The 12,016-nt window shown below is 53.0% G+C and overlaps 2 protein-coding genes across 22 annotated transcripts in view, besides 2 other annotated features; both read left to right on the top strand.

Moving 5' to 3' along the window:
• The window catches only part of ERICH1 (glutamate rich 1), a 116,479-nt gene that overhangs the window by 70,541 nt on the left and 33,922 nt on the right, over positions 1–12,016 (top strand). For 2 of the 21 annotated variants that reach the window (XM_047421404.1, XM_047421400.1), the window contains one exon: positions 9,392–11,268. The exons of 16 other annotated variants lie outside the window; for them this stretch is intronic. In XM_047421404.1, the coding sequence (XP_047277360.1) occupies positions 9,392–9,432 (41 nt within the window). In that variant the 3' untranslated portion in view covers positions 9,433–11,268. Of the gene's footprint in view, positions 1–3,826; positions 7,065–9,391; positions 11,269–12,016 lie in introns of those variants that run through there. 3 more of the 21 variants (XM_047421402.1, XM_047421397.1, XR_007060709.1) reach the window with 2 other exon arrangements.
• LOC124902053 (uncharacterized) lies at positions 722–1,723 on the top strand. Its single transcript, XM_047422538.1, has one exon. The coding sequence runs from the start codon at positions 722–724 to the stop codon at positions 1,721–1,723; it is 1,002 nt and encodes a 333-aa protein (XP_047278494.1).
• Positions 8,038–8,537: an enhancer, noted in NCBI's record as "H3K4me1 hESC enhancer chr8:602147-602646 (GRCh37/hg19 assembly coordinates)". NCBI's record gives its function as "activates a minimal SCP1, AML or CMV promoter by ChIP-STARR-seq in naive H9 embryonic stem cells {active_cell/tissue: H9 hESC(naive)}" and the evidence as "EXISTENCE:reporter gene assay evidence [ECO:0000049][PMID:30033119]".
• Positions 8,538–9,039: an enhancer, noted in NCBI's record as "H3K4me1 hESC enhancer chr8:601645-602146 (GRCh37/hg19 assembly coordinates)". NCBI's record gives its function as "activates a minimal SCP1, AML or CMV promoter by ChIP-STARR-seq in naive H9 embryonic stem cells {active_cell/tissue: H9 hESC(naive)}" and the evidence as "EXISTENCE:reporter gene assay evidence [ECO:0000049][PMID:30033119]".

The following is a 12,016-nucleotide window of genomic DNA, read 5'->3' as shown; positions in this document are numbered from 1 at the left end:
TCCAAAATTTTTATTGTAAAAAAAATTAATTTTCTTCTTCTGCATAACAAATGACCACAGGCATAGTGGCTTGAAACGACACCATTTGCCGCCTCGCAGTGTCTTTGGGTGGGGATTCAGTACAGCCCGGGCTGGGACCTCTGTGTGGGGACTCACGGGCCGCCAGCAGAATGCTGTTCGTGTGGCCGCAGGACAGAGGCTCCGTGTCCTTGCTGGCTGATGCTGTGGCCGCTGCCACACCTCAAGGCACCAAGTCCCAGCCCCGTGGCCCCTCCAACCTGGCAGCCGACCTCAGGGTGGCAGAAGAATCTTCTGGTATGGAGAACCTCTTTTTAAAGATGTCATTTGACTCCATCAGGCCTGCCCAGGTAATCTGCCTGTTGTTAAAAGTCAAATATTACAATAACAACTGCCAAGCCTCATCACAGGTGATGGCCCCAGGTGTGTGTGAACATGAGCACATGCTGGAGGGGAGGCCATGACACTGGGCAGGGGCCAGGGGGAGAGTCGGGGAAGGCCCTGCCTTCGGGAGCTCAGCCATGACCCCGGGCAGGGGCCAGGGGGAGAGTCGGGGAAGGCCCTGCCTTCGGGAGCTCAGCCCCACCTCGTTGCCTCAGCACAGGCCTCTGTTCCACTGCAGCTGTATCTGGCACAGTGAGTTGATGAGGGGCTGCCCCCTTCCCTTGGGGGGCTTGAGGCCAGGATCCTTGTAAGGGATTGAATGAGGACACAAAGGAAGGGAGACGGACAGACAGGGAGCAGCCTGCCAGTGGAAGCCTCGATGGTCACCCCCTCCCCAGGATATTCAGTGCACACTGGAGATCTCGATGGTCACCCCCTCCCCAGGATGGTCAGTGCACACCGGAGATCTCGATGGTCACCCCCTCCCCAGGATGGTCAGTGCACACTGGAGATCTCGATGGTCACCCCCTCCCCAGGATGGTCAGTGCACACCGGAGATCTCGATGGTCACCCCCTCCCCAGGATGGTCAGTGCACACCGGAGATCTCGATGGTCATCCCCTCCCCAGGATGCTCAGTGCACACCGGAGATCTCGATGGTCACCCCCTCCCCAGGATGCTCAGTGCACACCGGAGATCTCGATGGTCACCCCCTCCCCAGGATGCTCAGTGCACACCGGAGATCTCGATGGTCACCCCCTCCCCAGGATGGTCAGTGCACACCGGAGATCTCGATGGTCACCCCCTCCCCAGGATGGTCAGTGCACACCGGAGATCTCGATGGTCACCCCCTCCCCAGGATGCTCAGTGCACACCGGAGATCTCGATGGTCACCCCCTCCCCAGGATGCTCAGTGCACACCGGAGATCTCGATGGTCACCCCCTCCCCAGGATGGTCAGTGCACACCGGAGATCTCGATGGTCACCCCCTCCCCAGGATGGTCAGTGCACACCGGAGATCTCGATGGTCACCCCCTCCCCAGGATGGTCAGTGCACACCGGAGATCTCGATGGTCACCCCCTCCCCAGGATGCTCAGTGCACACCGGAGATCTCGATGGTCACCCCCTCCCCAGGATGCTCAGTGCACCGTGGAGATCTCGATGGTCACCCCCTCCCCAGGATGGTCAGTGCACACCGGAGATCTCGATCGTCACCCCCTCCCCAGGATGCTCAGTGCACACCGGAGATCTCGATGGTCACCCCCTCCCCAGGATGCTCAGTGCACACCGGAGATGTGGGGACCCTACCAAGATGAGATGATGGAGTCCCAGCTCCTGAAATCCAGAGCCTGGTAAGGGCCCCTGGGTCGCAGAGCAAGTGAAGGAAAGGCAGAGGAAGGACGGCCAGGGAGGAATTGGGGAGGAGCCAGCTCGGGCCCCATAGCAGGATAAGCAAAGCCCACAGCCTGGCATCCTCATGTCCTGCAGGTGGAGTCCCCGATCGAGGCCTTGCCCTGAGGCTGTGGACGACACCTTCTCCCTGAGTCCTCTTGTGGCCTTTGTTTGTACCAGGGGCATCTCTAGGGTCTTGTCCTCCTCTTGTCCGATTGGGTCAGGACCGCCCTGATGATCTCATTGAGGCCTGGTCACCTCCCTAAGGTCTTGTCTCCAAATGCAGCCACATCGGGGGCCAGGATCAACATGGACGTGGGCCGCGGATAGTTCAGCCCATGACACAGGAGGAATAATTTGAGGAGAGGAACAGGAGAGAACTGTGCCTCGGGGATGGGATGAGGGGTTTGGGAAGAGGGGTTTGGCCCACAGTGCCAGGTGTTCAGGGAGGTCGAAGCCCCTGCTTTACACTGGACTGGACTCGGGGCCTTGTGTCTCCACCCCCTTCCGGGGCTCTGGCCTGACCACCCCACAGGGCTCACAGTAACCCACCTCCCGGGAGGCCCAGTGGAGGCCAGGCTGGCAGTCTTCTTCCTGCAGGGAACCAGCCTCTCTCCCCAGTCACCTGGGGGCAAATGAGAAGGGGAGGGGCAAGCAAGGGGCCAGGCTGGGCCCTCCTGTTCCTGTGGTGAGGGTGGGTGAGGAAGTCCAGGAACCACAGTCCAGCTGCAGCCGAAGCCCTGGAAGCCAAAGACTGGGGCCCAGCCAGAGGCCACTTGGGCACGAAGAAGGGCAGCAGCAGCCGGAGCTAAGAATGGCCTCTAGAAAGGGGCCGTGCCAGCCTCTCTCTCAAACATGGTCCGTGGGGATCGGGTGGGGCCCCTCCTGGATGCCCCTTGGGGGCTGGTGGGCCCAGCCTTGTATTTGGACATTAAAGGCAAAGGAAACGCCAGCCAGTCAAACCACCTCTGCCATTCTTCCTCTTCTGGGAGTGGCTGGGGTTGAAGGCAGTGCTCGTGTTCATGGCCCTTTCACTACGTCTGATTTGTCGCAGATCCAACAGCATCTGGGATCTTCCTCTGAAAATCCCTCTCATTATCGCAAGGAATTCCTGCACATTACTGAGTCCTTTAATTTAACATGGCATGACATTTATATCATTCTAATCTCCACCCTCACTCCTGATGAAAAGGGCGCCCCTGGCGTTCAGCTGAAACCCACGCAGATGAACTCCATAATCAAGCCCCTGTACAAAATCCAGTGGCCAATGATGCATTTCCCCACAGAGACCCATACTAGATTTACCATCAGGGAGACAATGGCGCCAGTCTGGACTGACGGAGCAGGAGCATCATCATCTTAGACAAGCATCGCCCCTGTGAGTTCTACTTGATTCAAAACTGCCTAAATCCAGCCCCAAAACATCAGCCTAATGGCTAATGTCAGTGTGACCTTAAATCACAAATGAAACCTCTGACCAGAGACATGCCAACCCCGAGATAACCTCCCTTCCGACCAGAGACACTCCAGTCCTGCAATAAGACTCTCCTCCACACAGAAACATTCCTAGCCTGCAATAAGCTCCCCTTCCCGGAACTCTTAAATACCCTTAGTCTCCAAGAGAAAAGGCTCCTGACCGAAATCGGGCAGAAGCCCCTCTCAGGTTTATTCTCCAAAATAAACCTGTCTTAGACTGTTGAGCTGCTTTTCGTGTTTCTTTCTTCTTCAACTCTTGCAGTATCTATCACCATTATTGTTACAGTTTCATATTCCACATTGCAACCAACCTTTAAGAAACTACAGTTTGTTGAGTTTTGCTGTTGTATAAAAAAATCCATATTTATTTGAGAAAGCTATTAACTTACTCCCCTCTTCCCCAATCTATTAAACATTTGCTAAGTAATAGTAAAATTGTTTGCTCTTAAAAATTATTTTGCACTAAAATGCATTATTTAGGTTAACATATAAGGAGTGTATTGTTTATCTTAAATGAATTAATCCATAATGTTTAAGTTTCTGCTTTGTTTTCTAGGCTGGAGCATGCTGGGGGGCTCCCCGGGGGCTCTTCAGAGTGAGGGAGTCCTGAGGCTGGGAGTCTGGGAACCACTGCTGTGCACCGTTTGGCACAACACTAGCTGAGGCCCCTTGTAGAAATGTTCTTCCCAGACCTGCAGCAGGAAAGACACAGCGTGAATGGGGATGTCCTTTATTCCCAGAGGCAAGTAAGCCCCAAAATTCCACACTTGTCAGAGTGACAGGGTCCCAGGGGCAAGCCCTGGCTGATTTCAGCCTCAATGCGAACAAGATCGTTAATGGAGGATGACGCATTACAAAGGGCAGTGTAATCCATGGTGCATGGTCCATAGCACCAGAGCACAGGTGGGGAAGGTCAGGAGGAGAAAGCTCTACTTCTCACAAAAAAGTGGGGCAAACAAACATAGAGATGACAGAATTAGCAAAGTGCTTTGTCGTCCCCAAGGGAATAATAACCAAACCCAACAAGGACGATCCGGATGTTAAAATCACTGGGTCAGATATTTTGGGGAAGGGGAGAGTCCCGAAGCCTCACCTTACCCCACAGGTGACTTGCAGATTTCGAAGGGGAGGAGCAGCTTTGCAGGGGGGATCCAGCTGCTGGCACTGAGCACCCAGACGGGAGGCTTGTAGGGGAAAACAGAAAAAGAAGGAACCGGGGGAGTTTAGAAGATGCTGTGGGGATGAGGGGCATGTCCCTCGAGGACCGTGCCAGCAGCGAGGCCATTCGGAGAAGACCTGGGAATGGCTGTGGTCACAGGCAGTTCAGACCTGGCGGGCAGGTCTACAGCCTGATTTGGGGAAGTCTTGAGGCCATGAGTCTGCAGGCACAGAGACAGCCCTGCAGCAGCATCTGCGGAGGCTGAAGAGGGAGCCCCTGGTGTCCACCTGGGCAGGGGGAGGGACCTGTTGCGATTGGGTGTAACTGCGAGAACAGCATAGTGGATGGGCGGTCTCTGCACCTGCGTGTGTGGAGGGAAAAGTAAGACAGGAAAGGATGTGTCATGAAAAACGTGGTCGTGAGTTAAAAATGAGGCACATACAACAATAGAAATTCTGCAGGAATGTATTTAAATAATACACTGTCTACCGTGTGTGACTGTGCATGAGAGAGGAGTGGAATGGAAGTGGGGCACAGAGGAAGGAAAGAAGGAAGGAAGGAAGGAAGGAAGGAAGGAAGGAAGGAAGGAAGGAATGCAGAGGACAGAATGAATACAGATAAGGAGTGAGCAAGCCAGAGAAAAGGCCACACATGCCCCCAGAATGATCCCCCGTGATGAAGGTTGCTGCGTGATCCACTCGGCCCCTGGGTCCCAGCAACTGACCACAGCAAAGAAGAAAAGAGGAGCTCCTGCAAGGGCAGGTGCTGGTGCACCATCGTCCAGAACACGAAACGCACACGTAGGTAAGAACGTAAGTCTATGTGAGAGACGGGCAAACAAAAACGAGTGAGACTCCTATTACATACGCTCCTGGGTGTGCTGACGTACAGAAATCCTCTCTGCAGGCTTAATTACTATCTGCCGTGTTGGATTTGCTTACAACCTGCCTGTGGCATGAGGGCGTCTGAGCGTAAGAGTGAAAGAGAATTTTAGAATAAGTTGGACAGCGTCTGTCTCCTGTCTAGAGACAGCCAAGTCCTTGCTGTTAGAAAGGCGAAGCTGAAGAACAAAATCAAACGCGGCTGCTCTTCCTAGTCCCTTGGGGCCGACTTGGCGTGGGCTTGGCCTGAGGTCCCGTCGTGCATCTGGGCTCGGCAGAGACCACTCGGGGTTGGTTTTCCTTTTTGTTGTTCTCCACGGCTTTCTGTAGTGAGCTGGGCTGAAGGGAATTTGTTACTAAAGATAATTAAAGTGCCCAAGTGAGCACCAGGGCGCAACTCCCCAGGGGGCTGGCGTCCAGCCTGAGAGGATTTGGTCACCGCAAGCAAAGCCATTGTGACCCGCTGTCTCCAGCTTGGCAGGTGTTCCCGCCTCAGGTTCCTGCTGGGGGGACAGCAGCTACTCGGGGGGTCCTCTCCTGGGGCAAACCCATGGTGTATCTACCTGCACTGCCACCATGGACACCACTGCCTGCCCCTCCCAGCAACGGGGACACTGTGGTGTCAGCCCAAGTCCTTGTGGGGACATCTCCATGGCAGCCTGGGGGGGATGTCACTGTGGTGGCCTCGGGGACGTCACCTAAGCCATCTCTGGTAGACAGTGGGAGGTTCCTTTCCATCTTTCCCTTCAGTGTGTGTCTTTACATAGTTGCCAATATGGATCCATAATTTTTTAATTTATTTAAAACTGTAGTCAATGTTTTTTGATGTATGGCATACATATAGAAAAGTACATAAAACATAATGTCACAGCTCCTTGAATTCTCACAAAATGCCGAGACCCCTGTAACCCACACCCAGATCAGGAAACAGCCCTCCCCAGCACCGTAGCCCCTCGAGGAGGCCCCGTCCCAGCTCTGCCCCTCCAGTCCCTCCAGGTTTTCTCTTACCAAGCCTCTGAAGGAGCTTCCTGGCCATCCATCCTAATGGTAGCACAATATGCTAGTAAGTTAACGGGCCTCAATTAACTTAGCTATTCCTTTATTTGTGAACGGTTACGTTGCCTTAGGATGAACAGGGTCTTAAAGCCTTTGGCGTATTTTGCATTATTTTCTTATTTAGATTGAAAGAACTGGGGCTTTTGAGGCAAAGTCTACTATACTTTAAAAAATACATTTGTATTGTGATACACATACTGTAAAATTTACATTTTAAAATGTAGAGTTCCCAAACCTAAACTCTGTCCCCATCAGACAGGAACTCCGCAACCCCTCCCTGCACCTGGCAGCCACCAGCCATCCTACTTTCTGTCTCTGTGGCTCCGACTTCTCCAGGGACCTCTGCTCAGTGCCACCCTGCGGGATTTGTCCTTCTGTGACCAGCTCATTTCACCCAGCATAACATCCTCAGGGTTTCTCGTGTTATAGCCTGTGTCCAGATTCCCCTGCGCGCATGTGGCAGCCACCAACCATCCTACTTTCTGTCTCTGTGGCTCCAACCCCTCCGGAGACCTCTCCTCAGTGCCACCCTGCGGGATTCGTCCTTCTGTGACCGGCTCATTTCACCCAGCATAACATCCTCAGGGTTCCTCGTGTTATAGCCTGTGTCCAGACTCCCTTCTTTTTTAAGGCTGGATCATATTCCATTTGTTAAAAGAAACACTTCAACTGAATTAAATTTAAAGGAGTTTAATTGAGCAATGAATGATTCATGAATCGGGCAGCGCCAGAATCACAGCAGATTCAGAGAGACTCCAGGGATTCCTCGTGGTCAGAACAAATATATAGACAAAAAAAAGGGGAAGTGATATATAAAACTCGGCAGTGAGGTACAGAACAGCTGGATTGGTTCCAGGTTGGCATTTGCCTTATTGGAACAGTTTGAACACTCGGCAGTCTACGCATGGTTGACGTATGGCTGCTGGGATTGGTCAAGACTCGGCCACTATTACAGGCGCAGACTCCTGAATTAGGTTTTCAGTCCTGTCTGCTATTAAGGTAGGTTATAGTTCGTCCACAAGGACTCAAACATAGACGTCCTGGCATTCTTCTCAGGCCACATTTAGTTCGTGTTAGCACATGGCACTGTGTTTGTCCATTGATCTGTAGATGGACATGGTGCTGTTTTCACCTTTTGGCTGTTAGAATAATGTTACTCTGTACATGGGTGTACAAGCACCTGTTGAGTTCCAGCTTTCAGTTTGGGGGTTTATGCCCAGAAGTGGAAGGGCTGGATCATACGGTAATTAAATCTGGGTTTCATTTTCTGAGGAATTTCTACCCCGTCTTCCACAATGGCTGTACCGTTTTTCATTCCCAGCAACAGCACATGAGTGTGCTCATTCCTCCTCATCCTCTCCAGCACTTATTTCTCGTTTGTAAAAATATATGATAATCATCCTGATGGTTATGAAGCAGCACCTCGTGGTTTTGATTTGCATTTCCTTGCTGATTAGTGGTGCCGGACATCTTTTTGCGTGCGTGTTGACCTTTGTCTATCTTCTTAGGAGAATTTCCATTCCGGTCCCGTGCCTACTTTTGGGTTGTTTTGTTTATCACAGTTTTTATAAACCAGTTCTACATCAGATGAGCTGTGTGCCCCTGGTCTCTCCAAGTAGCTTAAATTCTCTGAGCCTGAGGCATCTCCTAGGAATGAAGACACCCTGTAAGCTCAACACCATTATTCATGCCTAAGACAACTACACCAATTCCCCAGCTTTTGAATGACCATAGGAATTATCAGCAGAACAGGACACTTTGGAAAGTGAATGAGGTGGGATTAATAATTATGCGGAAACAGCAGGTGTGAGCCAGAACCATCCCAGGCAAGCTCGTGGTCACTTTATGTGATATCAACTCCACTCCGTTCCTATCTAGATTTCCCCACTGTCCCCAGCACATCTTTCCAACCAGCAGCCAACAACGGTCGGGCTCTGCATTTGGTTGCGAGCCTGTGTTGTCTCATTTATCTCTGTCCACTGCTTCCCTAAAGGTGGTGACTCTGACGGGGCCAGGCCCCAGTCTTGCTCTTGTAGAACAGCTTCTCCCTCCATCACGTAACCTTTCCTCCTGCTGGCTGCATTTCCTGCCACCGGAAGTAAGGTCTTCAGGCGTCGGATTCAGAGGGCACGTGGGTGCAGGGTGAGTTCAGGGAAGGCGTCGATGGGGTGGCATGGAGCACCAGGGCAATCGCTTGTCTGAAGAGGTGAGTGCAGAGCCGTCGGTGGTAAACCTATGCAGAGATGCCCCAGCGCCCGCAAACGCTCTGCCTCCAGGTCCCCGGATGCCTCAGCAACTGCCAACGGCCTTTTCCCAAATCAGTGCCTTCATTCGGGTTGCAAAATAGTTGATCTTCTAATTTCACCATTCCTGCCACATTTATTACCAAGCATTCTGTGAAAAAGGCTTTTTTCTCATCAAGAGGAAATGAAACACACTTTCTCTTAAGCAAGGGGGAACTGCTGAAGTCAGTCCCTTTCCTCACCGATTTCCGAGTAGAGTTGACAATGATGTCAGAGTGGCTGCCGAAGGGAAACCAGATGCCCTCCCCTCCCGCTCCGTCTCAGCCTCTCTCTCCCCTCAGTCTTCTCCCCCCTCCCACTCCGTCTCAGCCTCTCTCTCCCCTCAGTCTTCTCCCCCACCCTGCCCGTCTCCCTCGCTCTCTGCCTCTCCTGTCCCTGCCCACCAGCTCTCTCTCTGGCTTACCTGTTTCCCCTGCCCCCAGCTCTCCGTCTCTCTCCCTAATCCCCCTTCCCACTTCGTGGACTCCCAGGTTCTTCTTTGGGCAGTGGGAGCCTCTCCGGGCTGGCTCCTGCATTTTCTCCACCTGCCCCATTGCCAAGGGCACTTTCTTGCTCTGAAGGCCCTGAAGCCCCAGGCTTACCGGAAACTTTCTGTGCCCCGGAGCTGGGATCAGCTGCTTCTCCAAGGAGCCCTGGGATGATATTTGTAAAGATAGATTGCAAAATTAGAATTAGTATTTTCAGAATCCCTTCCCCTCTTTTCCCACTCCCACCCAACCCAGTGTCACAGTGTCAGGCAGGTTCGGGAGATGAGGACGCCTAAGCCCAGCGCCACTTCTCTTCCCAACCCTGGACTAACAACTTGAGCTGAACCAGATGTGAACTGAAGCCCAAAACAACTGACATTGACTTGCAGTGTCTAATTCAACTTAACTGAAATGCAGTATCAATGTTGGCCTGAATCAAGCCATGGCAAGATGTGTGATAAGCCAGGGACTGTGGCTCCCCAACAACGCATCTTCCTTAAACCACTGAACCCCTGCAAGACTAGAGCTCTATCGTGGACGAACGAGGGGTGTTCTGCCTGGCTTCGGTGATTCGTATCTGCTGTCATTTGTAAACTGTTTATACACCGCCTTGGTGACAGGACCCCAGATCTATTTCTCAGTCACACTCAAGGAGCTCTCCTGGGATAACACACTCCAGGGCTCTCAGTCGGACCTTTCACCATGAATCGTTGAAGCCTCCTGCGGTGGCTGCAGCCCCTTGCTCTGGCTTTATCAGGTCAGGTCTCGGCTCTGCAGGCCTCGGAGCCCACAACAGAAGAGACCCTTTTATCAGCGTGTGCTGCGGGGTGGCTGCACCCTCTTCAGGGTCAGGGTGGCCTGAACTTGCGTCCTGCGCCTCATGTCCTCCTTCTCTCCTGCCCTATGGCACGGTGCCGGCTCTGGAATCTGAGCGCGTTGACACCGGTTCCTCCCTGGTCAGGCTGGCTGCTTCCCTTTCAGTGTCTGGGGCCGGCCTCGGGGGTACCTGCAGCCACCGGGGCGGCTGCTGCTGGGAGGTCAAGCCCATTTCGTCCTCACGTTAGGATGTGACAGTGCCCTGCCGAGGACGGTAACTGAGATGGAAAACGAGTTAAGGCGACAAGGGCTGCCCTTTCAGTGGGTGGCATCCGTGAGGCAGATGTCAGCCCCCAGGGCAGGAAAAAGGAAAGCCCGTTCTGCCTGCATCCTCTCCTGAGACCGTGTCACTAAAGTTGGAACGGGGAGACCCAGCGAGGACAGGGGCCACGGAGTCAGACCCCGGGGACAGAGTGCTGACTCGGCCTGGCGGAGGCCGGCGTCCTCATCGCCAGCACGGAACGGGACGCAGCTCCTGAGTGCAGAGAGGAACGCGGGCTCCACGCTGTGCCGGACACGCAAGCGCCCTCAGCTCTGCGCGCTCCCGGCATGGAGCGAGCGCTGAGACCGCAACCTTCCGGCCTTGTTCTTCTGAACCGGCACGAAAGCCGAGAGCAGGACACGCAGGTCGCGCTCAGCGCAGGGAGGCCGCCCTCGCCGGGCGCGGTCCGGGGTGCTCAGGCTCTGCAGCCCCAGGTGCCAGATGTCGCGGCTGCCGTCTTCTCCCTGACGCCAGCACACGCTTCCCCAGGCCCGGTCCTGTCACGTCTCCTCCCAACCTGGGGCCACTGCTCCTCCCAGCCCTGACAGCGATTCCTGGAAAGCTCTTGCTGGAGCCCAGCTGTCAGCTCACCTGCTCTGATACGCCGTCCGCCCTGTGCGGCTGCTCTGTCTCCACGTGGATGGATGGTGCCTGCGCTCATGGTCACACTGCTCAGCCAGGGGCCACAGGGCCTTGGAGCCCCGTCTTCCAGCTCCTGCCTCCTGGAGGCAGTGCTTCATGATCTGAGCCCACCTTCCTGCAGGAAGGGCTCACAGCAGCCGGCGCGGCCCCACCCCAATCCCCCTCCCCCGAGAGAGGTACGGTGCTGGACATCCAACAAAGGTGACAACAGGGCTCACCTCTCCCCTGTGGATCTTCCCCCCGGGGCCCAGGGGCTCTGAGCATTTCCACAATGCACAGGATACACCCACCCTGGAATTCTCTGTGCTTGACCTTGAGGACAGCATAGAATAAAAGCAAGCCCCGCTCTTAGCCGAGAAGCCAGTTTAACCACACTGTGAGCGTAAAAGCCCTTCTGCAAACTCTATTCTTGTTGTTTTCAGGGTGAAATGCAAAGAAATAGGTATGTGTTATTTTAGCTAAATATTTGTTTATTCTAAAGACAGCTGCACTGGCACAGATATGCCATCTCTTACTCTCCCTGGATGCTGGTAGATGCTGGTGGACAGGAGGAAAGCCTGGCCTCACAGTTTCCTGCCCCCCATGTCTAAATTCATCCAGGTAATAAAGTGCGTCTGTGTCTGTACAGGCAGTAACTCAGATCAGCCCTTCCACAGTGGCACACAGTTCCACAGAAAATCCTGTTATCAATAATAGCATTTGAATGAATTTGGGAAATCACCCTGCTGAGCTTAACATATTTGCACTAGTATGCAAATATCCCTGAACACACCCACTGGAACTAATCCACTTAAAAATATGCAAAGAGATTACAGGCAGGAAAATGTCCTGTGTATAGATTTATGGGAAATGACAGAACTGCTCTCTATTTTTGCCTTCAGAAAATTAGATTCCCAGTATTTTATATTAGAATCTACTATCATTATGCAATTGTTAAATTTCCTCTTTAATTTTCATCTCTGAAATGTGGTTTTCACCCAGTCATCAAAATACAAAATAACTTTTTCAATCACTTGCAAAGGAGCTTTCTTTCCAATGTTTTCAAAATGCAAAACACAGAAGCATGATTTGCTCTTCTGCATTTAAGATGCATTTTGGCA

Source organism: Homo sapiens, chromosome 8, assembly GCF_000001405.40.
Source record: "Homo sapiens chromosome 8, GRCh38.p14 Primary Assembly".
In the NCBI taxonomy this organism is placed as follows: domain Eukaryota; kingdom Metazoa; phylum Chordata; class Mammalia; order Primates; family Hominidae; genus Homo; species Homo sapiens.
Note: the sequence above shows the minus strand (reverse complement) of the source record. Positions and strands in the feature narration are given on the sequence as shown.